The 25,540-nt window shown below is 38.8% G+C and overlaps 1 protein-coding gene and 1 long non-coding RNA gene across 3 annotated transcripts in view, besides 1 other annotated feature; one reads left to right on the top strand and one right to left on the bottom strand.

Moving 5' to 3' along the window:
- CLDN10 (claudin 10) overlaps positions 1-25,540 on the bottom strand; it is a 146,005-nt gene that overhangs the window by 40,874 nt on the left and 79,591 nt on the right. The gene's annotated exons all lie outside the window — the stretch shown is intronic.
- Positions 3,297-3,591: an enhancer, noted in NCBI's record as "tiled region #5370; HepG2 Activating DNase unmatched - State 8:EnhW, and K562 Activating DNase matched - State 9:DNaseU". NCBI's record gives its function as "activates a minimal TATA promoter and a strong SV40 promoter by Sharpr-MPRA in HepG2 and K562 cells {active_cell/tissue: HepG2 | K562}" and the evidence as "EXISTENCE:reporter gene assay evidence [ECO:0000049][PMID:27701403]".
- Positions 4,976-25,540, top strand: part of CLDN10-AS1 (CLDN10 antisense RNA 1) — a 54,467-nt gene continuing 33,902 nt past the window's right edge. The window contains exons 1-2 of the long non-coding RNA NR_046533.1: positions 4,976-5,188; positions 10,299-10,394. This is a non-coding gene — a long non-coding RNA (CLDN10 antisense RNA 1). The remainder of the gene's footprint in view (positions 5,189-10,298; positions 10,395-25,540) is intronic.

Below are 25,540 nucleotides of genomic sequence, written 5' to 3'. Positions count from 1 at the left end.
AAATGTTACAAAGTTCAGCATTATCAAACAACTTGAGTACTTAAAAATCGCCTTCTCTGTGGAGTCTACAGGAATGGAATCTAAGGCATTAGGGTTGTTGCCATAAGCGGGTACAGCAGGACAACGGTGTTGGCTATAGCAATAGGCAGAGGAAGAGGAGGAGTCATGGCCTCAGAAATTCAGAAAAGAAAATGTGATCCAGGCTCTACCCTATAGAAGAAGAGATCAGATCTTATGGTCAGGAAAGGAGGAAGCTGGCCAAGATGCAGCGTGAGGATTTCAGAGCGAACACACACATTGACCTTGCAGCTGCATGGGGTGCGTGATGAAGGCAGGTTTGGCCACTGACAAGAGGAAATCAATATGATGAATCAATTGATATCACTCTATCATCACATATGGAGAGGAGGTATGAATGCTTGTTGGTAATTCATAGAAACAGTTTGTTGGCTGGGTGTGGTGGCTCATGCCTGTAATCTCAGCACTTTGGGAGTCCAAGGTGGGTGGATCATGAGGTCAGGGGTTCAAGACCAGCCTGGCCAATATAGTGAAACCCTGTCTCTACAAAAAATACAAAAAAACTAGCCAGGCGTGGTGGTGGGCGCCTGTAAGGTGCCAGCTACTCTGGAGGCTGAGGCAGGAGAATCGCCTCAACCCAGGAAGCAGAGGTTGCAGTGAGCCAAGATTGTGCCATTGCATGTCTCAAAAAAAAAAAAAAAAAAAAAAAAAAAAGAAATAAACAGTTTGTCAATGGGTCACAGATTTGTAATCAAATGAAAGCTGGAAATAATGCTTGGCTCTTGTTGTCATGTTGGTTCTCTACCAAAAATTTCTGCAGATCTTCTTGGCAACGTTGTTTTAGACTGGTGCATAAAAAGGGCTATGAATTTAGCTCTGCATTTGCCCTCATTTAGTGCTGTTTGTATGTTGCCACTGAAGGATGTAGTTTTGGGTTCTAGTTGATAGCCACCAGTGCTTATCAATTGGCAGATAAAGTTTCAGGGATTCTCTACTTATAATTGGTTTCACTTTTAGGGGCTGGAAGCCAATCCAAATTACCCCGGTGAGTGTTTGTTACTCGTGGGTGAGTGTTCATGGCTACCGCACCCCAGCAAATTACCAGGCAGGTAGTTATGATGGAAAACCTGGAATTTGGAATTCAAGCCAGTTACAGAAGCAAGAATAAGCACAGGACTTCAAATTTGGAAATGCCATTCTGTGGAGTGAAGTGGTACCCTAATTTATATATTTCAAGTAAAGAATTTGGTTAAATGAATTTCTGTTAAGTAAGGGAAACTTGTGGTATATTACTACCATTGAAAAAATGGTTTCGTCTTTGCACTTCCTTCCATTTGCATAGTTCATATTTATGACACCCAATTCTACTTCAGCACCTTTTTGGCATATCATCCCCATCAGAAAACGTACACAAATTATGGTGGGACTCAAGCTACAGTAATAGCTGAGACCAGAATTCACTTGATCCCCTCTGTTCGCAATTCATACTGCCTCCTGTACGCAAGAAGAGCCGTGCATACTGGGTATTCATTGAATTATGAATGTTTCCAGCTCTGGCAACAAAACAAATAACCAACAACCCCCCCAAAACTGATTAGCTATTAACCAACCCCACACAAAGTCTGAACTATATTAACTTCATTAGGCATTCTTTAATCTGTGGTAGAATGGAAATACATCCTAAAATTAGAAGATTGTAAACAGAGAGGTTTTCTTTTCCCCCACTTAATGTTTAATTTTAAAATATTCTATCTTAATTTGATATGGCTACCCAGAATAGAAAAAATGTTAGCTTCAACTTACTTCTTTACTTCAGCAAGCCTTAGCTCTGCTCTGAAACTCTTCTAAAGAAGCAAAAGGCTCTTAATTAGCACACACACAACAGGACAGGATTCACATGCACATGCTGCAGGAATAGTGTTTCTGCATTAACTTACAGCAGCTGTGAAATTTAAATACCACTAGCAGCAAAGACATTTTGTAAAATACCGCACTATATTTCATGAGAAATTTGCGCCCTCTTTTGGATAAAGATTGTTAAGACATTTCAATATGAACTTTTTTTTAAAAAGGCATGCAGTTTTTAAAAAATAAACAGTTTTATTGTAAGGACCGTGGGAAAGGACGAGAAAGAACAGGTGTGAGGACATTGCAAAGCCAGTATTAACAGAACTAGAAGGTGAAGATTTTGTAACTGCAACGCATAGATGGCACTATGAAGCGCCTTGAATTAGGAATCTATCGTTTTCTTTTAATCAAGATGTGTTGAGAAATTGTGACAATCATTACAAAGTAATGATTTTTAGGACCAATTTTCTCTAGAAAACAGTAGCCAAAGCTCATCTTCCTCTTGAGGCTGTAAGTTTTGTATGGTTAAGGATAAATTGTCCCTTGGATGATTTTTCTTTTTTCTTTTTTTGAGACAGAGTCTTGCTCTGTCGCCTGGGCTGGAGTGCAGTGGCGTGATCTCGGCTTACTGCAACCTCCACCTCCTGGGTTCAAGCGATTCTCTTGCCTCAGCCTCCAGAGGAGCTGGGATTGCAGGTGTATGTCACCATGCTAGCTAATTTTTGTATTTTTAGTAGAGATGGAGTTTCACCATGTGACTAGGTTGGTCTTGAACTCCTGACCTCAGGTGATCTTTCTGCTTAGATGAAGCAGATATTAAGGACTTTTTTTTTTTTCAAATTTAGGAAAATACACAAATGTATTTAAAGATATCTTGAGAGACATTTAAAACATATTCTTCATTTTTCTTCTTTAACTGACCATCTCAATAGACTTGTCTATTACAGTATCACAGTCTCTCTGTCCACCACCCATCTACTTCTCCATCCACTGCCATCTTTCCTACCTTTCCCTTTCCACTGAAACACCATAGGCAAAAGTGACAAGTGGTTTTGTGCTACCTGACTTAGTGAACAGTCCCCATTCTTTATCTTGTTTGTTTTCTCTGCACCTTTTTCATAGTTGCTCAGTTCCTTCTTTGTGAAATACTTTATTCTTTCGGCTTCCATAGCCCCATTCTTGCCTAGATTTCTCTGCCTGTTCCACGATTCGTCTCCATGTCTCCTCATGGGCTGGTATCTCCAGCATTCTGTACTTGGCACTTACCCCTTTTCACATCACAGTCTTTCCCTGAACCAACTGGTGGCTCCATAATGGGATTCCCTGACCCAGAATCAGTTCTTCTGATGTCCCATGTGCCTATGGGACATCTTCTCCTTTCTCCTGGTGGCTCGCAGGTATGGAGACCTCAATTATGTCTACAACTAAACCTCTCACCCCCACCTCCCCCGCAGCTCCCTTCTGTATTTTCTCCACTGAACCATGAACCATATTTGTTTGTCTACCCACTCAGTCTGCCAAGCAAGTTATGAGTGTTCCTGAGTCATCTTGGATGGCGCTCTTCCCTCTGTACTCCTCATCACTCAATCTTGTTGACACTCTTTCTGAACTGCCATGAGTCATTCTCACCTCTCCAGGCCCACACTACTCTTCCCAGTTTAGACCCTCATCACCTCTTCCATCCACTAGCCTGACTGGTCTTCCTGCCCCAGGGCTCACCCCTTCTAATATGACTCCCCAGCTGATTTTCCTAAAAGATAAGCCTGATTGTTTCTTTACCCCTTTAAAACCCTTCACGGGCTCCTCATTACTTGCAGAATGAAATCTGTGTATCTTATCATGACACAAAAGGTATCCTAGGATCTTCAGCCCATCACCTGCCATGCTGCACCTTGGAATACTCTGCTGGATCATAGCAAGCATGCATGGCAGTGTTCTTCCACCCAGGATGCCTTTTTTGCTTAATTAGCCTGGAGAATTCCTTTTAATTACTTTTTAAAAAAACTCTTTCCTCCCCCAATAGACCAGGCCTGAGAGTCACTCTCTCATTCTTGGTGGCGTGCTTCCATTGTTGCATTTACTGCGCAGAATTGGAGTTTGTATCCATGTCCCTGCTGAGCTGTGAGCGCTTTGAGAATAAACACAGATTCTTATTCATCCTCACTGTTGTTGTTATATTATAACCATGATTGGCTACCGTTTATTGAATGCCAGGAGAAAAAAAACCCTGAAGTTTGGAGATATTAGGAAAATTGCTCAAAGATGTATTGCCATTTAGAGGCAGAGTTATAATTTAATCCCCTTTTTTTAAATGATCCAAAACACATGTTCTTATCAAAATGATGCACTACAACTTAGAGGTTTCCTGGTAATACTCCTACTAGTAGTAGTTATTATAACTATCACTGTGAATCATGCATTATACTAAATTCTTTATATAACAATCAGTTTCTGAAGATGGAGAATTGATTTTTTTTTGAATTTTTAACGGTTTGATATAAAAAGTTATTTTTAAAAATGTAAAATAACAAAAGATATTTACTAAAGATATTCATACATTTGACAGGAGTATAGTTAAGCTTAGGTGGACCAGATGACCCACAATATCCCTTACCACATAAGATTTTATAATTCTACAAATATTTTTCCTCTTTTGATTTTAACAAATCTTTTCTTAAATTTATTTTATTAACATATCGTCCTGGCAGTAGCTTCATATGGTTATAACCATGTTTTCTTCTTCTTTTTCTTTCCTATTTGAAGGAAAAAAAAGACACCCAATGCTTTCTGTGTGTTTTCATATGTAACCTTCTACATAGCAGATGCTGCTAAATTGCTGGGGATATAATGAGAATTAAAAAGGAAATACAATTCTTTTTCTCATGGAGCTGAAAATCTAGTAGGGGAGACACACATTACCCAAACGATCCCTCAGTGACCATGTAATTATAAACTGAATCAAATGCTCTCTAATAAAGGACTACTGTACTCTGAAACTGTATAACAAAGAACGTGATCTCTGCTCTGGGTCAGGGAGCATGTCCCTGAGGAAATGGGCGGGGGCTGAGGCTTGGTGAGTGAGGCGGAATACTCAAGCCTGGTGCCGGGGAGGAGAGCCTGGCAGACAGAGCTCTGGGTAGAGTCTGGGTAGAGGGACCTGTGGTGGGAGAAAGAGAGAAGATCAGAGTGGAGGGGAGAAGCAGGGTTGGGGCCTTGAAGGTACTGCTGAGCATGTGGGTCCTTATCCTTACCCTGCATTGCCCGCAGGCCTGACCTTTGCTTCATTCTTCATGGCTGCCAAGTGAGAGTGTGGCCCCTGCAGGTAAGATCTAACTAAGTCTTGGATGTCTCTGTATCTCACCGGGTAGGCAGATAGTAAAAGCTCAATAAATACTTCCTAATTTATTTGACCTACAGGTTTTCCCCTCCACCTTCTTATACCTGTACAATTACTAGAAGAGACTCAAGATACCAGCGTGATTTATTTTTTAATGGATTGAACAAATTAGTTATTTATTATCAAATAGTCCCATTGGAAAACAATTCTGTGAAATGTATTAGGGGAGTGTTATATCTAAAGATTATTGAAAACTGGTTCTTTCTTCTAAAAATCTACTTTTGTTTTCCCCAACATTTTCTCATAAAACTTTATAAAATATATAGCAATGTTGAATTTTACAGTAAACACCCCATATATCATACCCAACACCTACATTCTACCATAAACATTTTATTTGCTTTGCTCTCTCGCTCTGTCTCTCTTCTTCCCCCTCTCCCTCCCTCTATCAATCTTTTTTTTTTTTTTGGAATATTTAAAAATAAATTGCAGGCCTCAGTACAATTTCTCCTAAATCCTTCAGCAAGCATATCACTAGCTAGATATTAATATTTAGTTTTTCTTTTGATGTAAAAATTACATACAATGAAATTTATAAATCTTAAGTGTACATTCACTAACTTTTGACAAATGCATACATCTGTGTAAATGAAACAAACACTATCTTTCTAGAAAGTTCTCTCATACTCCTTCCCAGTCGATCCCACTCCCCCCGTTTTTCTTGTGTTTTCCACAGTAGACTAGTTTTATCTATTCTAGAACTTTATCTAGATACAATCAAACAGCATGTACTCTTTTGTATAAGGCTTCTTTCAGTATGTTTTAAGACTCATCTATGTTGTTGCACATATAAGCAGTTCATGTCTTCTTTTTTTTTTTTTTTTTTTTTTGCTGAATTGAGTTCCAGTATCTGAAGCTATCACAGTTTGTTTATCCATTTTTCTGCAGATTAACATGTGAGCTATTCCCAGTTTTGGGCAAATAAAGCTGCTATGAACATTCTTGTACAAGTTTTTTTGTGAACATGTTATCATGGGTAAATATCTAGGATCAGAATTACTGGGTGGGAGGGTAAGTGTATGTTTAGTTTTATAAGAAATTACCTCACCATTTTTCAAAGTGTACTATTTTATATTCCCACTAACCATGTGTGAAACTTGCAGGTACTCTACATTCTTGCCAACGTTAGATGTTATCAGTCTCTTGTTTTAGCCATTCTTGTAGGTATTCAATGATATCTTATTGTGATTTTAATTTTTATTTCCCTGATAACTTCATGATGCTGAGCACTTTTTCATGTGCTTATTGCCCATTCAAATACCTTCTTTTGTGAAGTGCCTGTCCAAATTTTTTGCTCCTTTTCTATTGAGTTGTTTCTTTGTTTTTGTAAGAGCTGTTTCTATACCAGGCTGTTATCAGATACATTCTTAGTGAATATGTTCTCTCAGTGTATGGCTTGCCTATTTTCTCAAAGGCATCTTTTGATGAGCAGAAGTTTTAAATGTTGATGATGTCTAATGTATATAAATTTTTTTCTCTTATGGTTATTGCTTTTTTATGACCTATCTTATGAAACCTTTGCCTACCCCCAAGTCATGATGATATTCTCCTATATTTTCATTTTAAACCCTTTGCTTTTAGCTGTTTTTTATGTGGCCTATGATCCATCTCTAATTATTGTTTGTTTGGTATGAATCAGAGGTTAGATTCATTTTTCCATATGGCTCTCTGGCTACTTTAGCACCATTTGTTTAAATTCCTGTTGGACTGTTTTGGTGCCTTTGTGGAAAATCAAACACATGTGTAAGCGCAGATCTATTCCTTTATCTTTTTAAAAATGTAAATACTAGCCGGGAGCGGTGGCTTATGCCTGTAATCCCAGCACTTTGGGAGGCTGAGATGGGTGGAGATCAGGAGTTCGAGAGCAGCCTGGCCAACATAGTGAAACCCCGTCTCCACTAAAAATATCAAAAAAAAAAAAAAAAATTAGCCAGGCGTGGTGGTGGGCGCCTGTAGTCTCAGTTACTTGAGAGGGGAGGTAGAAGAATCGCTTGAACCCAGGAGGTGGAGGTTGCAATGAGCCAAGATTGCACCACTGCACTTCAGTCTGGGTGACAGAGTGAGACCCTGTCTCAAAAAAAAAGGTAATACTGAGCAATCAACATCCAAAAGTTTCCTTCTTTTAATTTAAATTTTACATCCTGTAATCTGGATAAGAGTTTAATAATGAGGATATAATGACTTTTGACCGCCTACTAGAAAAATTGATGCCCTATGGCTTCTTTAAAATATGAATCAATTTGTTTCTCTTTCAGGGATATAACTTTCATATTGCTAATCAAATGCATTGGAATCTTTACTTGAAAATTAAGTTGGCCTTGAAAATGCAAAATAAAAAATTATGTTACTGCCATTATATGCTAATTTAAAGTCTACCATATTTTGTTATTTAAGAAAGATGATCATCCAGGTGTGGTGGCTCACGCCTGGTAATCCCAGCACTATGGGAGGCTGAGGCGGGCAGATCATGAGGTCATGAGATCGAGACCATCCTGGCTAACATGGTGAAACCCCGTCTTTACTAAAAATACAAAAAATAAGCCGGGTGTGGTGGCACACGCCTGTAGTCCCAGCTACTCGGGAGACTGAGGCAGGAGAATCGCTTGAACCCGGGAGGCTGAGTGAGCCAAGATTGTGCCGCTGCACTCAGCCTGGGTGACAGAGTGAGACTCCATCTCAAAAAAAAAAAAAAAGGAAAGATGATCAGTTTCTTCTCATTGGAGTCTAATATGGTTGAAGGGCTAGAGGTGTTTCTAGGAAGGATCTTAGTATATGAACTTAGGTAAGTGAGTTTCATGTTTTATTTTTTATTTGTAAAGAAAGAAAATAATTCTTTGACTGTTCCTATTATAATAAGGTATTGTAAAGATCAGTGAATTTCAGGGCCATACTTTAGGAAAACATATGGATAAAACAATAAAAAATATAAGCACAAGGTAGTTGATAAACACAAGATGTTTTCCTTGAGTGTCTATGTAGCAGGTATTTTTCTTTGTGTAAAAGCTTGTAACCATAGCATTAACATTCTCCTTTATGAAATTTGGGATTTGATCTCTTTGCCCTAATGAAGATAGACACACAGGGTCCTTTCGATGAGTATACTCAGGCAGGGAAGGGCGAAGAGTGGTTCTAAGTCCTTCTTGGCAGCCTTTCCTGGGCTTGCCACCCCAGATGGATTTGCCTGCTCTTGAGTCCAGTAATTCAATAGCCTGTTTCCTTCCGGTAGGGGTTGCCCAACCGCTTACAACCTGCCATGAGTCTTCGTCTCATGCCACTCACAAATGTTGTGGTTTAAACACAAAGAATTTTAACATCTCTCACATCCCAAAGTAAACAGCAGTTCTGGAAATGTCACAGGGCTTTCAGTGCATGGGAAATGGATTCTGTGAGATGGATTTAAATAACTCATGGTCCACTGTGGAAACTTTTTGAAGCTGCTCCCCCTCCCCATTTCCCCCCTGTCAAAGTGATTAGGTGAATCAAGAGGAAACAAATAAAGGTGCTTGAAAAAGTGAACCTAATCACACACTTTCTGGTTGGTGTTTGTGGGCACTAAAAAGCATTATATGCATGTGGTTTGAGGTTTTAATATGTGAAATTTATTCACCTTTAATATCTTTTTTGATTTAAATATAATCAACTCAATGTTTTAAATAGTGAAAGTGACCTTCTATAATAATTATATCACATTTGACTCTAGGATAATTTACAATGTTTTCCTCACCAGAATTATTAAAAAGCAGTACCAACTGTTCACATCTAATAAGCTAGTTTCAAGGGAGAGCTATGTCCTGATAACCCAAGAAATAACAATCTTAAACCCTAAATTATTTGGGAAAAAAAAGCGAAACTGGAATATTAACTGTAACCTACTTATTTGTATAAAAATCCTGGATATGACCAGAGATTTTTGCACACTTCATGTAGACAAGTAGGGAAAGAAAAGAGATTATCAGTGTCCTACAAAAGACTTTTGGGGAATGGAAAAGGACCACTTCTGTATGAATACTACCTCATGAAGCCAAAAATAATAAGAGTTACAGGAAAGCCAGGTGACTAAATTATTCCAGCCTAGAGGCACGCTCACCTAGAAGCTAAGAATTCTACTGCAAAGGACTGAAGTTCCCAATGCCCTTGGCAGCACCAAAAAAATAACATATTAATAAGGCGAATGGTTCTTAACAATTCCTTTCAAGCCCTGTTTTCTATGTAACAGGGTACATTATTTTGAAAAAAAATGTGTTTATTCACTTTAATTAGTTAGAAATCTTACTCCTAACTAGAAGTATCCCAGAAGATCTGATGAAACACCTGCCAATCAAAGGAAAAGAAAGCACCACTAACTTACTGATTGAAGAAATAAATGGATCAACAGAGCAAAAAGAGATCTCAATAGTATCTGTTGAATTTTCTTCTGATTATTTTGAGGATTCCTTTTAAATTTAGAAATTATAGGTAAATTTATAGGTAACAGCATGCCTCCATATGATATTAAGACAAAAATTAAAAAAAAAATACTAGACATGGGCAGCAATATCTTACTGACCCCACCAGTTCTACATTAAAAACAACAACAACAACAACAAGAAAAACATTGTTCCCAGCTTTGTTTCAGAAAGAAACAAAACACCCTTGATTGGCCATCACTCAGTTATGTGTCTTGGCACCTTTTCTAACTCTCTGTAGACAACCAATTCATACTATGTTCAAGCTCTAAATATTAGTGACTGTGGTGTCTTAATGACCTACTTAACTTCTCTCTTTAACTTGGTGTTGCCAACTTATTGAATAAACTTTTTTTCTTGCCAACTACCCATTTAATAAAATGGCTCATTAATGCAGTCAGATCTCCTTCAGTGGCTTTGCCGTGGTGTCTGTACTTTTTTCTGCTGCCATGAGCTCCACACATGACATTCTCCCTTTCCTTAGCTTTACTCAATATGGCTATCAGTCTTTCAGGAGAAGGAATCATCTTGTTTATTTCTGTTTGATCTTACTTGTTGCTGATACCTTATTTGAATTTATCTTTTGGCAGATGGTTGGATCATCCATCCAGTTCTTTGCTTCCTCTAGCTGATATCCTTCTTTGCTGTACTATATGGGAAAAGCAAGAAATATTTGACACCAAAATGTATGATTCACTTATGCATTAGTCCGTTTTCACACTGCTGATAAAGACATACTCGAGACTGGGTAATTTATAAAGAAAAAGAGGTTTAATGGATTCTCAGTTCCACATGGCTGGGGAGGCCTCTCATTCATGGTGGAAGGCAAAAGGCACATCATACATGGAGGCAGGCAAGAGAGAATGAGAACCAAGTGAAAGGGGAAACCCCTTATAAAACCATCAAATCTCATGAGACTTATTCACTACCACAAGAACAGTATAGGGGAAGCCACCCCTATGATTCAATTATCTCCCACTGTGTCCCTCCCACAACACGTGGGCATTATGGGAGCCAAAATTCAAGATGAGAATTGGGTGAGGACACAGCCAAACCATATCAACTTGTATATGGTGGCATTATAGAGACAGATACAGCCAGTCACACAGGGAAAGGAAAAAGATTTGAACAAAGCCTAGAAACAACTACTTGATGTAGCCAGAAAACATGCTGTCAGATCACAGCACAGATCCTAGAATCAGGAAATCTCCAGGTTGCCACAAATCCTAGTGGTCAATGGTTCAGCATACATCCAATTCAATGATAGCAGTCGAATAGCAAAAAACTTTTCCCTACAAATGTCACACTCCTGTTAGAATGAATGGCTATAGCTGACACACTCTGCCTTTGGATGCATAGAATATTTCACCATAAGATGATATACACTCGCCACAGAGTTTTTTAATTTTGTTTATTTATTTATTTTTGTTGTTGTTGTTTTCGAGACTGAGCCTTGCTCTGTTGCTTAGGCTGGAGTGCAATGGTGCAATCTCAGCTCACTGCAGCCTCCAGCTCCCTGATTCAAGTGATTCTCCTGCCTCAGCCTCCTGAGTAGCTGGGATTACAGGCACCCACCATCATGCCCAGCTAATTTTTGTATTTTTTTTTTTTGTAGACTTGAGGTTCCACCATGTTTCCCAGGCTGGTCTTGAACTCCTGACCTCAGGTGATCCACCCGCCTCAGTCTCCCAAAGTGCTGGGATTACAGGCGTGAGCCACTGTGCCTGGCCTGTTTTTGTTTTTTCTATATCAGAATTTTAAAGAGAGAAGAAGGTGGACTTCTGGTTAAGGATGGGAGACACACACATTTGTATTTGTTTCCTCATGAAATTTTATTAAAAAGACAGTAAATGAATTTCTTAAAAATTATTGTTGAAAACCATCAAGAATAAAGAGGAAGCAAACAAGAACATAACATTCCTTTTATGAAAGTTGAAAATAGCATTCATGAACAGTAAGCTGCCTAACAGAACTGAGAGGTTTGGTCCTAAATTGGCAATAAGGAAAACCAAGAAACAACCCAAATTATATCGCAGAACTGCCACAATTAGCAGGCCCCTGGAAGCTTTGGAAGAAGGTGGCAAAAATGGGTCTAAAACAGGAGGATTTGTTGAAAGTCCAATTAGAAGTTTGACACTCATATTTCATACTCAGCTCTGTTCAATGGGGGCAAATCCTCCCTCCTCACCTGAACAGAAAGCTGGAAGTATACTCTCTGGGGTGGATGAAATTTTGGTTGTTGAACTAGGGGACACCTGTTCCAAATGAAGAAGGGAGTTTCATTATTAAAACAGTGTGATTAACTAAAAATTTTACACTAAATGCTAAGACAGCTCTCCTTTCCTTCTCGCCATGTTTATTTATTTATTTATTTATTTATTTATTTATTTGAGATGGAATTTCACTCTTATTGCCCAGGCTGGAGTGCAGTGACGCAACATTGGTTCACTGCAACCTCCACCTCCCGGTTCAAGTGATTCTCCTGCCTCAGCCTCCCGAGTAGCTGTGATTCCAGGTGCCCACCATCATGCCTGTCTAATTTTTGTATTTTTAATAGAGACGGAGTTTCACCATGTTGTCCAGGCTGGTCCCTTCTTGCCATTTTTCTACATTTGGTTCTCAAAACACAAAACATTGGCAGCCAGGCCTAAACTCCGTATACAAGAGACTGACTGTGAGATCCATCTCTAGAGAATGGACAGTTTCATAAGGAACAACTTAAAGATACTGACATTGAAGTTTCCCTAGTAAAATGGCTCATTACAAATGTCCACTGTGAGCTTCTCAGTGGACAAGTCCGTCTACAGTCTCAGAGCTTCTAATGAATTCTTAAATTCCCATGCTGAAGAACTGACTGGCAGACAGTTGAAGAAATTTCCAACAGGGAAGTCAAATGAACAAACAAAGTAACTTGTAACAACTAACATGGAGAAAACGTTAGATGGGGAGAAAAAAAATCTAACAATTATAATTAATATTTTCACAGAAATAAAAGAAAATATTGCATCCATGAGATAAGCACAGCTAAAGAACATTCGGAGAATGCACACAAACACTCTCTCGGAAATTAAAAAAACCATAGTTGAGATAAAAACACAATGGAAGGTTTAGAAGACAAAGTTAACAATATCTTCCAGAGAGAAGTGCGAAAACATTGAGACTTAGAAAGTAGAAGAGAAAGACAAGGAATATAGAAGAACGATCCAGGAGATCCAACATCCAAATAAGAGGATTTATAGACCCAGAATCAGTGAGGAGAAATCCTCACTGCATGGGAAAGTACAGGCGCACAAAGCTAGATGCAAGTTGTTTAGTCAATTTTAATAAGGTTATTCTGCAGTCAATAACAGCCCTAGAATCTCGGTGGCTTACAACAGTGAAAGTTGGGCTGGGCATGGTAGCTCATCCCTGTAATCCCAGCACTCTGGGAGGCTGAGGTGGGTGGATCACTTGAGGCCAGGAGTTCAAGGCCAGCTTGGCCAATATGGCAAAACCTGGTCTCTACTAAAAATACAAAAATCAGCTGGGCGCGGTGGTGCACGCCTGTAATCCCAGCTACTTTGGAGGCTAAGGCATGAAAACAGCTTGAACCAGGAGGTGGAGGTTGCAGTGAGCCACGATTACGCCACTGTACTCCAGCCTGGGCGATAGAGCAAGACTCTGTCTCACAAAAACAAAAAGAAAAAACAATGAAGATTTATTTGTTACTCACTTACATGTCATTTGGGGTTAGTAGACAACCCACAGAATGGGAAAAAGATATTTGCAAATATGATAAGGATCTAGTGTCCAGAATATATCAAGAACTCTTACAACTCAATAATAAAAACCCAAATAACCCAATTTAGTAATGGACAAAGGACTTGAATAGACATTTCTCCAAAGAAGATATGTAAATAGCCAATAAACATATGAAAAGATGTTCAACATCATTAGTCATTAGGAAAATGCAAATCAAAATAATAATGAGTTACCATTTCAAACATACTAAGATAGCTTTAATTTAAAAGAGTACAAATAGGCCAGGAGTGGTGGCTCATGCCTGTAATCCCAGCACTTTGGGAGGCCGAGGCGGGCAATCACCTGAGGTCGGGAGTTCGAGACCAGCCTGACCAACATGGAGAAACCCCGTCTCTACTAAAAATACAAAATTAGCAGGGCGTTGTGGCACATGCCTGTAATCCCAGCTACTCAGGAGGCCGAGGCAGGAGAATTGCTTGAACCCGGGGGGTGGAGGTTGTGTTGAGCCGAGATCTCGCCATTGCACTCCAGCCTGGGCAACAAGAGTGAAACTCTGTCTCAAAAAAAAAAATAAAAATAAATAAATAAAATAAAAAATAAAAGAGTACAAAATAACAAATGTTGGTGAGAGCTTGGAGAAATTAGAACCCTCATACATTGCTGGTGAAAATGTAAAATGATGCAGCCGCTGTGGAAAAGAGTCTGGCAGGTTCTCAAAAAGTTAAACCTAGAATTACTATATGACTCAGCAATTATTATCTTCTTGGTATATATCCAAGGTAATTGAAAATGTATGTTCACACAAAAACTTGTATATGAATGTTCTTAGCAGTATTATTCACAATAGCCCAAAGGTGGAAATAACCTAAATTTCTATAAACTGAAGAATGGATAAACAACATGTGGTATTTCCATACAATGGAATATCATTTAACCGAAAAGGGAATGAAATTACATGCTACAACATGAATGACTTTTGAAAGCATTATATTAGTTGAAAGAACCCGGACGCAAAGACCACATATTACACAATTCCATGATGTTGGTTGCACAACATAGTAATATACTAAAAGCCACTGACTAATAACACTTTAAAGTGGTAAATTTTATGTGACGTATATCTCAAAATAATTAAATAGAAAAACAGAGTTAATGGCTGCTTTTCAAAACGTGTGAAAGGCCTCATTCATAGACTCAAGAAGCCCAACAAATTCCAAACTAAATAAAGAAAAATTCACAACTATAGCCATCATTGTGATGCTACAGAATACCAAAATCAGAGATAAAAATGTTAAAAGCCAGTCAAAGCAGAGTGAGACTCTGTCTCAAAAAAAAAAAAAAAGCCAGTCAAAGTACCTAAGACCAAACGTTGGACATATAGCTTACTTTTCAATGGTAATAGTGAAAGCCAGAGGACAATGAAATTATATCTTAAATATGTTAAATGAAATTAGAATTCTATATTCAGTAGACCAGTTGTTCCCAACCAAGGTAATTTTGCTCCCCAGGAGATACTGTTAGTTGACACAACTGAGAAGGGAAGTGATACGGTCATCTCATGTGTAGAGGTCAAGGAAACTGCTTAATGTCCTACAATGCACAAGACAGCCCCAACAACAGTTATCTGGCCAAAAATATAAAGCGTGCCAAAGTCAAGAAATCATGCCGTAACATATCTTTCAAAAATGTAAATAAGCCGGGCATTGGTGGCTTGCTCCTGTAATCTCAGCTACTCAGGAGGCTGAGGCAGGAGAATCACTTAAGGCCATGAGTCTGAAAACAGTCTGGGCCATGTAGTGAGACCCTATCTCTAAAAAAGAAGAACGCATATAAAATGAAAAAATATTTGCAGACAAATGAACGTTGAGATAATTGGCTATCAGTAGATCTACATCAAAGGAAATAAACGGCAAATATTTACCTGATCTTTTCAGGTAAAAGAAAATAATCCCACAAGTAAAATTGAAGAGGCAGGAAGGACAATGAAAATAGCAAATGTGTGAGTAAACTTAAACGGATGATAATAACATTAAGCAACAGTAACAATTCCTTATGTGGTTTAAAATACATATAGAATTAAAATTACAAGAATTGCATATAGGTCAAGCTGAGAGTAAATGAAATTAAAGTGTTCTGAGATTTTATTTTGGTTCAGAGTGAGAGTGATAATACCATATAGCATTAGAATCAATAAGTCAGTTGTACTCTAGGGGAACAACTAAGAGACTAGTAAAAGAGTATAAATTATAAATTAACAAAAAAAGATAGAATAATAAGCAAATTAATACAAAAGACGGAAAGAAAGGAGTGGAAAAGGAGTATAAAATGTATGGGACAAAAAGAGGGTGAAAACATAGTAAACTTAAATACAAATTATTATCATAAATATATTAGATGTAAATGAACTAAATGTTCCTAAGGGCAAAGAACTAAAGTCAAAGATTTTCAGGCTGAATAAAAAATAAAAAACAAAACCCAAGAGACAAAACAAAAACATGAAGATAAAGAAAAGTTGATAGATAAAAAATGAAAAAGATATATAATGTGAATGCTACCTAAAATAAGACTGATGTCTATTAATATTAGACAAACTACTTAGGGCAAAAAGCATCATCACACAGTTAAAGAGAGTCACTTTTAATGATGTAAAAAAACCCAATTCATTAGTAATATATAAAAATTCTAAATTAGTATATACTTAATAAAATTGCCTCAAAAAATAAAGTGAAATTGACATAAGTACTACAGGAGATAGATAAATCTACAACCATAATGGGGGGTTTTAGTGTACAATCTAAAAAATCAGTAAAGATATATAAGGCTTGAGAAACACTACCAGCAATCTCTACCTTCTGGATGGCTATACATCACCCAAGAATCACATTTTGAATCAAGCATCCATGGAACATTTACTTTGTAAGCTAGGTCACAAACAAATCTCAATAAATTTCAATGAGTTGGAATCAGAGTATGTTTTCTGACTGCAATAAAATCAAGCTAGACATTTATAAGAAAAATGTAATAGAAATCCTACATATTTGAAAAGTTATAAAAATCAGTTGTCAAAAAAGAAATTATAAAATTTAGAATAAATTTTATACTGAATGATAATAGAAATACAAGACATTAAAACTTGTGGAATGCAAGTGAAGCAGTATTTAGAGGAAAGTTATAACCATAAAATGTATTTTAAAAAAGAAGAATGAGAATTCATCACCCAAGCATGATCTCAAATAAACAGAAAAAGAATAGCAAATTAAAACCAAAGAAATAGTAAAGCAAGCCTTCATGAAACAGGAAACAGAGAACATCAAGAAAGCTAAAAGTTGTTTCTTTGAAGACATTAGACAAACTTCTGGTGAGACTGAGTAAAAAAAGAAAAAGAAAAGAAGCAGCACAAACAAATGGTATCATGAAAGAAAAAGGAGGCATCAGTGTAGATCCTGCAGTCATTAAAGAAAGAAACAAGATTCATGAATTACTTAAGGTCAATAAATATAAAAATTTAGAAAAAAATGAACAAATCTCTTCACCAAATTACAACATACCAAAATGAACACAAGAAGAAATAGAAAAATGAAATAGTCCTATAACAATTCATAACTGAGAGAGGCAATTTAAATCTTTTCCATTAAAAACAAAAAACAAAACCTCTAGGTCCAGATGGGTTTACTGGTAAGAACTACCAAATATTTAAAGAAGAAATAACATCAATCTTATACAAATTCTTCCTGAGAATATGAAGCTGGTATATTTTGATACAAAATCCTAATAAACACATTATAAAAGAAAGGAAAATTACAGTGTGTAATTGTCATTCATGAATATAGATGCAAAATTATAAATGAAGTGTTAGCAAACTTATTCCAGTAATATATAAAAAGGATAACATAATTATCAGGCTGGTTTTATTTGACATCGCAGAGTTTGGTTTAATATTAGAAAATCAACCAATGTAATTCATCACAGTAACAGATTAAAAGAGAGAAATAATATGACCATCCCAATAGATGTCAAAAAAGCATTGAATAAAATTTGACTCCCACTCATGATTTATAAAAATCTTATCAAAAAAGGAATAGAGAGGAACTCTATGAATCTGATGAAAGTAGATACACATCCCCAAAGCAAACCTTATACTTATTGATAAAACATTGAAAGTTTTTCTTTTGAAATCAGGAACAAAACAAGGATGCATACTATTGTCACTTCTTTTCAAATTGTACTGTGGCCTAGCCAGTGTTGTAGGCAAGAAAAAGAAACAAATGGTATAAGAACTGGGAAGGAAGAAATGAAATTATTGTCACTCACAAATTTTATATGATTGTATGTATACAAAATCCAAGAGAATCTACAGAAAAATTATTAGTATTAATATGAGAGTTTAGCAAGTTTGCTAAATCCAAAGCCAACATATAAAAATTAATTGAATTTCTATGTATATGCATCCAACAATTTTGCTGTTTTTTTTTTTTGAGGAGTCTCGCTCTGTCGCCCAGGCTGGAGTGCATTGGTGTGATCTCGGCTCACTGCAGTCTCCGCGATTCTCCTGCCTCAGCCTCCTAACTAGCTGGGACTACAGGCGCATGCCACTACGCCCAGCTAATTTTTGTATTTTTAGTAAAGATGGGGTTCACTATGTTGGCGAGGATGGTCTTGGTCTCCTGACCTCATGATCCACCTGCCTCTGCCTTTCAATGTGCTGGGATTACAGGTGTGAGCCACCACGCCCGCCCTCATCCAAACAATTTAAAACATGAACTTGTCCAGGCGCTGTAACTCATGCCTGTAATTCCAGCACTTTAGGAGGCTGAGGCGGGTGGATCACCGGAGGTCAGGAGTTTGAGACCAGCCTGACCAACATGGTGAAATCCCATCTCTAATAAAAATACAAAAGTAGCAGGGCATGGAAGCCGGCACCTGTAATCCCAGCTACTGGGGAGGCTGAGGCAGGAGGATTGCTTGAACCCAGGAGGCAGAGGTTGCAGTGAGCCAAGACTGTGCCATTGCACTCCAGCCTGGGCAACAAGAGTGAAACTCCATCTCTAAATAAATAAATAAATAAATGGGAACTTTTTTCCATCTAAAAATAGTGAATAACTAGAAATAAAATTTAAAATAAATATTTGAGATCTCTATGCAGAATGTCTTAAATCATATCAAATGTATATGTATATGAAAAAGAAACCTATTTTAATATGGAAGTTTTGCTTAAAATCAATCTACGTAGACCAAGAGCCTTTATTAATAACCTAGAAAGATTAATCTGGTATTAGTTCTGATTAGGTTTAGGGTTAGGGTTAATATGGTGGGGTCTATTATCATGGGTGTGAATGCACTCACTAGAGCACAGGCATACGCATGTTCATCTGAACAAACACACACACATGCACGCGTACGCACGTGCACACACACACACTATATTCCCCAAACATTGTAAAGAAAAACAGAAAGTTTTGATTGCATGAGCAACTCTTTCTTTGCACTTTAGATTTTCATACGCTTTTCATATCTGATTTTCATGGGTGATTTCCATGGATGATTTTCATGTCTGAATCTCATTTACTTCTTATGTTGTTAAGCTTTCCTCTCCCTTTCCTCTTTACCTAGACCCAGAGATGCTCCCAGTATGTTAGAGCACATTATTTAAATTTAGATTTAATGATACTGACTTCCATTAATGCTTTTATTTGTTGTCTTAAAACTCATCCTTGAGTCTACAGCAAAGACTTGCCCTGTGGCAGCTTGGTGCACTGTTAAGAGTTAGGAACTAATAGCTTGAACAAGGACTGAGTTAGAAATTTGTGTCTGCCACTTACTGACTACTTGTATGGCATTGTGAAAATTTCTTCACCTCTCTGGCCAATGTTTCTACATCTGTAAAATAGAAATAATACCTCCCATTCCTACCTCCAGGGCTATTATGAAGATCTAGGTTGATCAACTGCTGTATAACTTCTAGCTAACTGTAGCTAACACTTCCATACCAATTCTTTCCAATTTTCTGTTAAAATGAACAGACCTCAGATTTGTATGTTCCTGCCTAAAGCAGCAAGCATGGATGCAATGGCGGCGGCAGCCCTTTTGTGACCAGACATGAGAGAAAGGCCCAGAGAGTCACAGAGACCTTGCATCCATCTGCTTGTTTAGGTCTCTGGTCCAGCTCAGGGTCACCAACCTTCACACTTCTTGTTTGGTGACAGAAAAAGCCCAGATCTTTAAGCCACTGTTACCTGTGTTTTCTATATCTGCAAGTAAATTCAATTCTTAACTAATACACCAAGCTCTAATGAACTTGTATGATGTGCCTGACACTACACTAAATACCTGATGTATGTTGTGCTCTTTGATACCCCAGAACAGCTCTCCTACAGGACACTGAGGTGCAGAGAGATTAAGCAATTTACTCAAGGTCACATGGCTCTACCGATACCTGTCACATACTCATGGAGGCCTCAACAATTGATTCAGTTATTTAATTATTGTCAGAAAGATGACACAAGATCACACTCTAAACCAAAATACTTTTGTGACCAACATCAGCCAATATTCTATAGCGCTGATCACATCATTGAGTTACCTAGGGTCCATGTTGCAACCACTCTGTCTTAGAGCAGTCATCAGGAAGTTGAACTTTCTAAAATTAGACTTCTTTTATATTTATTTATTTTTTTTTTTTTGAGACAGTCTCATTCTGTCACTCAGGCTGGAGTGCAGTGGTGCAATCTTGGCTCACTGCAACCTCCGTTTCCCAGGTTCAAGCAATTTTTGTGTCTCAACCTCCTGAATAGCTGGAATTACAGGCATGCGCCACCACCATGCCCAGCTAATTTTTGTATTTTTAGTAGAGATGGGGTTTCACCATGTTGGCCAGGCTCGTCTTGAACTCCTGACCTCAAGCAATCCACCTTCCTCCACCTCCCAAAGTGCTGGGATTACAGGCGTGAACCACCACACCTGGCCTAAAATCAGACATTTTTATGTATAGATTTTTTTTCTTAATGACTGCAGTTGGTAAATCCAGGTTTTGCAAATGTTCTCATGTAAATAATTGTGGATATGATCTATAACAGAACTTTGTGACTTAGATCATCAGTTTTTCTAGGTTTCTTGAAGTGGACCCAAAACAGTTTGAGTAACATCTTGGCCCTGCCTATAAAGATTCTCTGTGAGGACATGATAATAAAAAAGAATAACGACTAAACACTGAGTGCTAACTATGTGCTAGGCATGCTTCTAATCACTTTACACGCATTCACTCATTCTAACCTCACAACCCTATGGCAGGTAATGTAATTATCACCATTTTTCAGGTGAGAAAATCAAAGCCAAGAAATGTTAAGTTGCTTGTCCCAGACTTCTTAATCACTATAAAATGGAAGAAAAAGAATTTGAACCCTGAAAGGCTGGCTTCAGGAATATGTCCTGTCTAACTTTTAAAATGGACTGTTCGTTGATTATCAAACATATGCTCAATCTCTCTTTTTTTTTTTTTTTTTTTTTGAGGTGGAGTTTTGCTCTTGTTGTCCAGCTGGAGTGCAATGGCGCGATCTCAGCTCACTGCAACCTCTGCCTCCTGGGTTCAAGTGATTCTCCTGCCTTACCCTCCTGAGTAGCTGGGATTACAGGCACCCGCCACCACGCCTGGCTAATTTTTGCATTTTTAGTAGATGGGGTTTCACCATGTTGACCAGGCTGGTCTCAAACTCCTGACCTCAGGTGATCCACCCGCCTCAGCCTCCCAAAGTGCTGGGATTAGAGGCATGAGCCACCGCGCCCGACCTCAGTCTCTCAATTGGTAAGACAGAGTGTCTATACTTCAGAATCTTGTCAGGAAATTCTCCCTGCATGTTTTAAAGTGTGATGTCAAGATACAATCATCATTGACAATTTTCTGAAGAATAGGAAGTGTATCCATATCCTTGACTCAAGCCAGTTTCATTGTTTGGGACTACAGTGTCTTAGTTCCCTTTGGAACTAAGCTTTTGTTTAGCTTTTAATATTTAATTCAAACATCAACTTTCCTTCCTGGATTGCACCCTTCTCCCACCACCGGATCCCTAGGTTCGGGGGGTGTCTACCCCAACACACTCCCATTGTTTGTCTGTGGGAAGAGCTCCCCAAGGGCAATGGCTGCCCCGACTTATTTGTCTGTATCGCCAGCTCCTAAGCAAGGGCTCAGTAAATGGCCATGGAAGTCAGGAAGAAAGAAGAAAGGAGAGAGGGAAGGAAGTTAGGAAAGAGAAAAATTTAAGAATGAAAAAACAGAAAGAGATGGAAAGAAGGAAAGAAGGGAGGAAGGGAGAGAAAGAAAGAGAAAGGAAGAGAGGGAGGGCGGGAGGGAGGAGGACAGGGAAGGAAAGAGAAAGAATGAAAAAGGGAGAGAGAAAGAAAAAAGGGAGAGAGGGAGGGAGGAAGGAAGGAAGGAAGGAAGGAAGGAAGGAAGGAAGGAAGGAAGGAAGGAAGGAGAGAATCTATTAACTTAGAGAATGGCTTCATCACAATGGTCTGTATGGGTAAATATTGCCCATGGTTTTCAGATCATCTCATACGCCTGGATGTAGGAGACACTCTCCCCTCCCACACACATTCTGATTAAATTTTTGGTTTATAGAGCAAAGAATTCAGAAACTTATATTAAAGATGAAGATCTTAAGAAGATGAGATTCCCCTCCGTGCCCTTCTGTGCACACACAGAGATCCAAAGCCTTTTCCATAGCTGCCTGACAGGTTTCACTGCTGCCCCGAAGAAGTCCTTGAGACTTGCAGCAGGAGAAGGATCTCTGTATAATCTTTGTTTGCCTAATAATAGGTCTTTAAGGGTTTTTAAAAATTGGTTTCCTTTGGGGATCATTTAAATTTCCCATTTCCTTGTAAATATTTTTGGTAAAAACATCCTCTTGGATTTCAGAGGAAGTTAAAATAGAAAAAGCTTGAAAGCATTCACAAAGCAATGTGCTCTCAAAACACAGCCATTCATTTGAAGTTGTCTTTTAGTCTGAATCCAAATCCTCCAGTCAATACAAACCATAATATGCTGCTCGGTCTCTGTGGATCCATTCTGCCTCAAGCTATGAGCTTCAAAATTCTCAAAGAGTTGGACTTCAATGCTGTTTCTTATATTTTATAATACTATTTAATCTGCCTGAAGGTGTAGGATGTAATGTCATGATACTGTACAAACTTCTGGGCTACTGGCCAACCGATACAGATGAGAAATATTCTATTACTATGAAGCTGGAGTTCCTTCCTACTATTTCATTTGTATACATTTGTATTCATAGCAATTATTTACTTAAATATTTTAGCACATGTAATTTTGAAATTATAAAGGACATCTTTTTTTTTTTTCTTTTTTTCTTGGAGACAGAGTCTTGCTCAATCACCCAGGCTGGAGTGCAGTGGTATAATCTCAGCTCACTGCAACCTCCGCCTCTGGGGTTCAATCAATTCTCCTGCCTCAGCCTCCTGAGTAGCTGGGATTACAGGCATGCTCCATCACGCCCAGCTCATTTTTGTATTTTTAGTAGAGATGGGGTTTCACCATGTTGGCCAGGCTGGTCTCAAACTGCTGACCTCAAGTGATCTACCTGCCTGTCAGTTTGGAGCCAAGTAGGCAGAAGGTCAGCAGAGGACTAGAAAGAAACTCTCTGTTCCCAAACCAGTCAAGCGCCTTCCTCTGGGCTCGCGTTCTACAAGCCATCATCAAGCAAACCAAGCTGGAACTATGTCAGCCGCCTCCCCCATGCATCTAATCAAGAGGTAGTTAGCTGTATGATGGCACAGAGAGAAGGTGAGCTCTGAGGTGAATCCAAGACTTTTCAGTGACCACAGTTTCTCTTGGTTAGGGCCCCTGACTCAGAGCCTCACTTCATACAGTGGGGAAGGACCTGTAGGAAAGACTTACATTCATGCCACAAAAGGCAGTCCATTCTGTTCTTGAGTGTAACATCTTTCTGTCTTAAAAATAATAGTAATTAAGGCCAACGCAGGCAGATCATTTGAGGTCAGGAATTCAAGACCAGCCTGGCCAACATGGCAAAACCCCGTCTCTACTAAAAATACAAAAAATTAGCCGGGCATGGTGGTGCACGCATGTAATTTCAGCTGCTCAGGAGTCTGAGGCATGAGAATCGCTTGAACCCAGGAAGTGGAGGTTGCAGTGAGCTGAGATCGTACCACTGCATTCCATCGTGGGTGAGAGAATGAGACTCTGTCTCAAAAAACAACAACAACAACAACAACAACAACAACAAACGTAATTAGCCAGGTGCAGTGGGTTGAGTGCCTCTAGTCCCAGCTCCTCAGGAGGCTAAGATAGGAGGATTGCTTGAGCCCAGCAGTTCAAGGCTATAGTGTGCTATGATCAAGTCTGTGAATAGTCACTGTACTCCAGGTTGGTCAACATAGCAAGACCCCATCTAATAATGATTGCAAGTTGCAGCCAAGTCTCCTGCAAGTTCACCTTCCATAGTGTATCTCAAATCTGTCTCCTCTTTACCATCTTCAGCGCCATCTCCATGCAAGTCTGCGGGACATCATCTCACAACTGAGATACTGCAATGGCTTCCATGCTTGCCCTTGTCACCTTAAAATTCATCTCCTACTTGGTAACCAGAGTGAGCCTCTTAACTTATAAAGCAAATCATGTCACACACACCCCTACCTGCTTCAACCCCTTAAAGGGCTTTCCATTTCTCTTAACTAAACACCTAAATGCATGACCTTGACCCACAAAGCCCCATGTTCCCTGATCCAGACCTCATCTGGCTTTCATCCCCATCATCGGCTACTCTCACCTGCTGACAAGTGCTAGAAGACCCTTGAGGCTACCTGCCTTAATGACTTTGCACTTAGGGATCCTTTTGTCTGAAACACTTTTACTCCTCTCTTCTCAAACCTTGGGGTCTGTTTAAATATTATCTCCATAGAAAGGGTATCACCCACCCTCTACATAAAAGGTAGCCCAATTCCTCTACCCACCATTATTGGTTGTTTGCTGGTAAACATTTAGCAACTGGCTCCTGAGGGTGGGGTGGGTGGGGTAGGTGGGGGAATCCCTGATTGTTAACGTTTGCTTATTTCTGTGGTGTAAATTCTCCTACCACAGCTAATTTCTAGCTATCAGTCTGAAGTCAATAGGCTGGAAGGTTTTTTCTCTTTCCTTTTTTCTTTTCTGAGACAGGGTCTTCCTCTGTCACCCAGGCTGGAGTGCAGTGGTGTAATCACAGCTCACTGTAACCTCCACCTCCCAGGCTCAAGCCATCCTCCTGCGTCAGCCTCCAGAAGTAGCTGGGATTACAGGCATGCACCACCATGCCTGGCTAATTTTTTAATTTTTTGTAAAGATGAGGTTTCTCTGTGTTGCCCAGGCTGGTCTTGAATTCCTGAGCTTAAGCCATCCTCCCGTCTTGGCCTCCTAAATTGCTGGGATTATAGGCATGAGCCACCATGCCTGGTAATAGGCTGGAAGAGTTCTGAAGCATAACAATCAGTTATTGAGAGCTGATGCAAGCTGGCTCCAGCTCTTCACTGCATGATTGTCTATCATATAGCACTGCTTATTTCCTTTAAGGCACCCATGAAAAGCTGTCAGATTATATATTTGTTTCTACACTTGTTTTTGTGTTTATCTCTATAGACACAGATTTTATAGACAGAGATTACAGTGAAAATTCCATGAGAAAAGGTCTATCTCAACCCTAGTCCAATGCTTATCAATGTAGAATATATCCAATATGTATCTATGAATGAATGATAAGAGCTCATTCTGTATACATGAGTCTTCCCTTTTACAGCCTTTTCATTTTCTCAGTTTCTCTAAGTTTAAAAAAATAATTTTTTATTTCAGGGGAAAATGCTCTATTTTACTGCTTTTAACACCTAGAAGCCAAGAAGGAGAGAGGATGTTGAGCAAGAAGGGTGTGAAAGAAGAAAGGGCTGGAAGCGTTTGTTAGAGGGGTGTCATACAATATGACATGGAAGGAATTTATAGTTTAAACCCCTCTAGTGAGATGATTTTTAGTCATTATGTTAATTGGAAAATAAGTTTATCTTTAGCATAGAACACATTCTGCCCCTTGTTATGTAA

Source organism: Homo sapiens, chromosome 13, assembly GCF_000001405.40.
Source record: "Homo sapiens chromosome 13, GRCh38.p14 Primary Assembly".
Classification (NCBI taxonomy): domain Eukaryota; kingdom Metazoa; phylum Chordata; class Mammalia; order Primates; family Hominidae; genus Homo; species Homo sapiens.
Note: the sequence above shows the minus strand (reverse complement) of the source record. Positions and strands in the feature narration are given on the sequence as shown.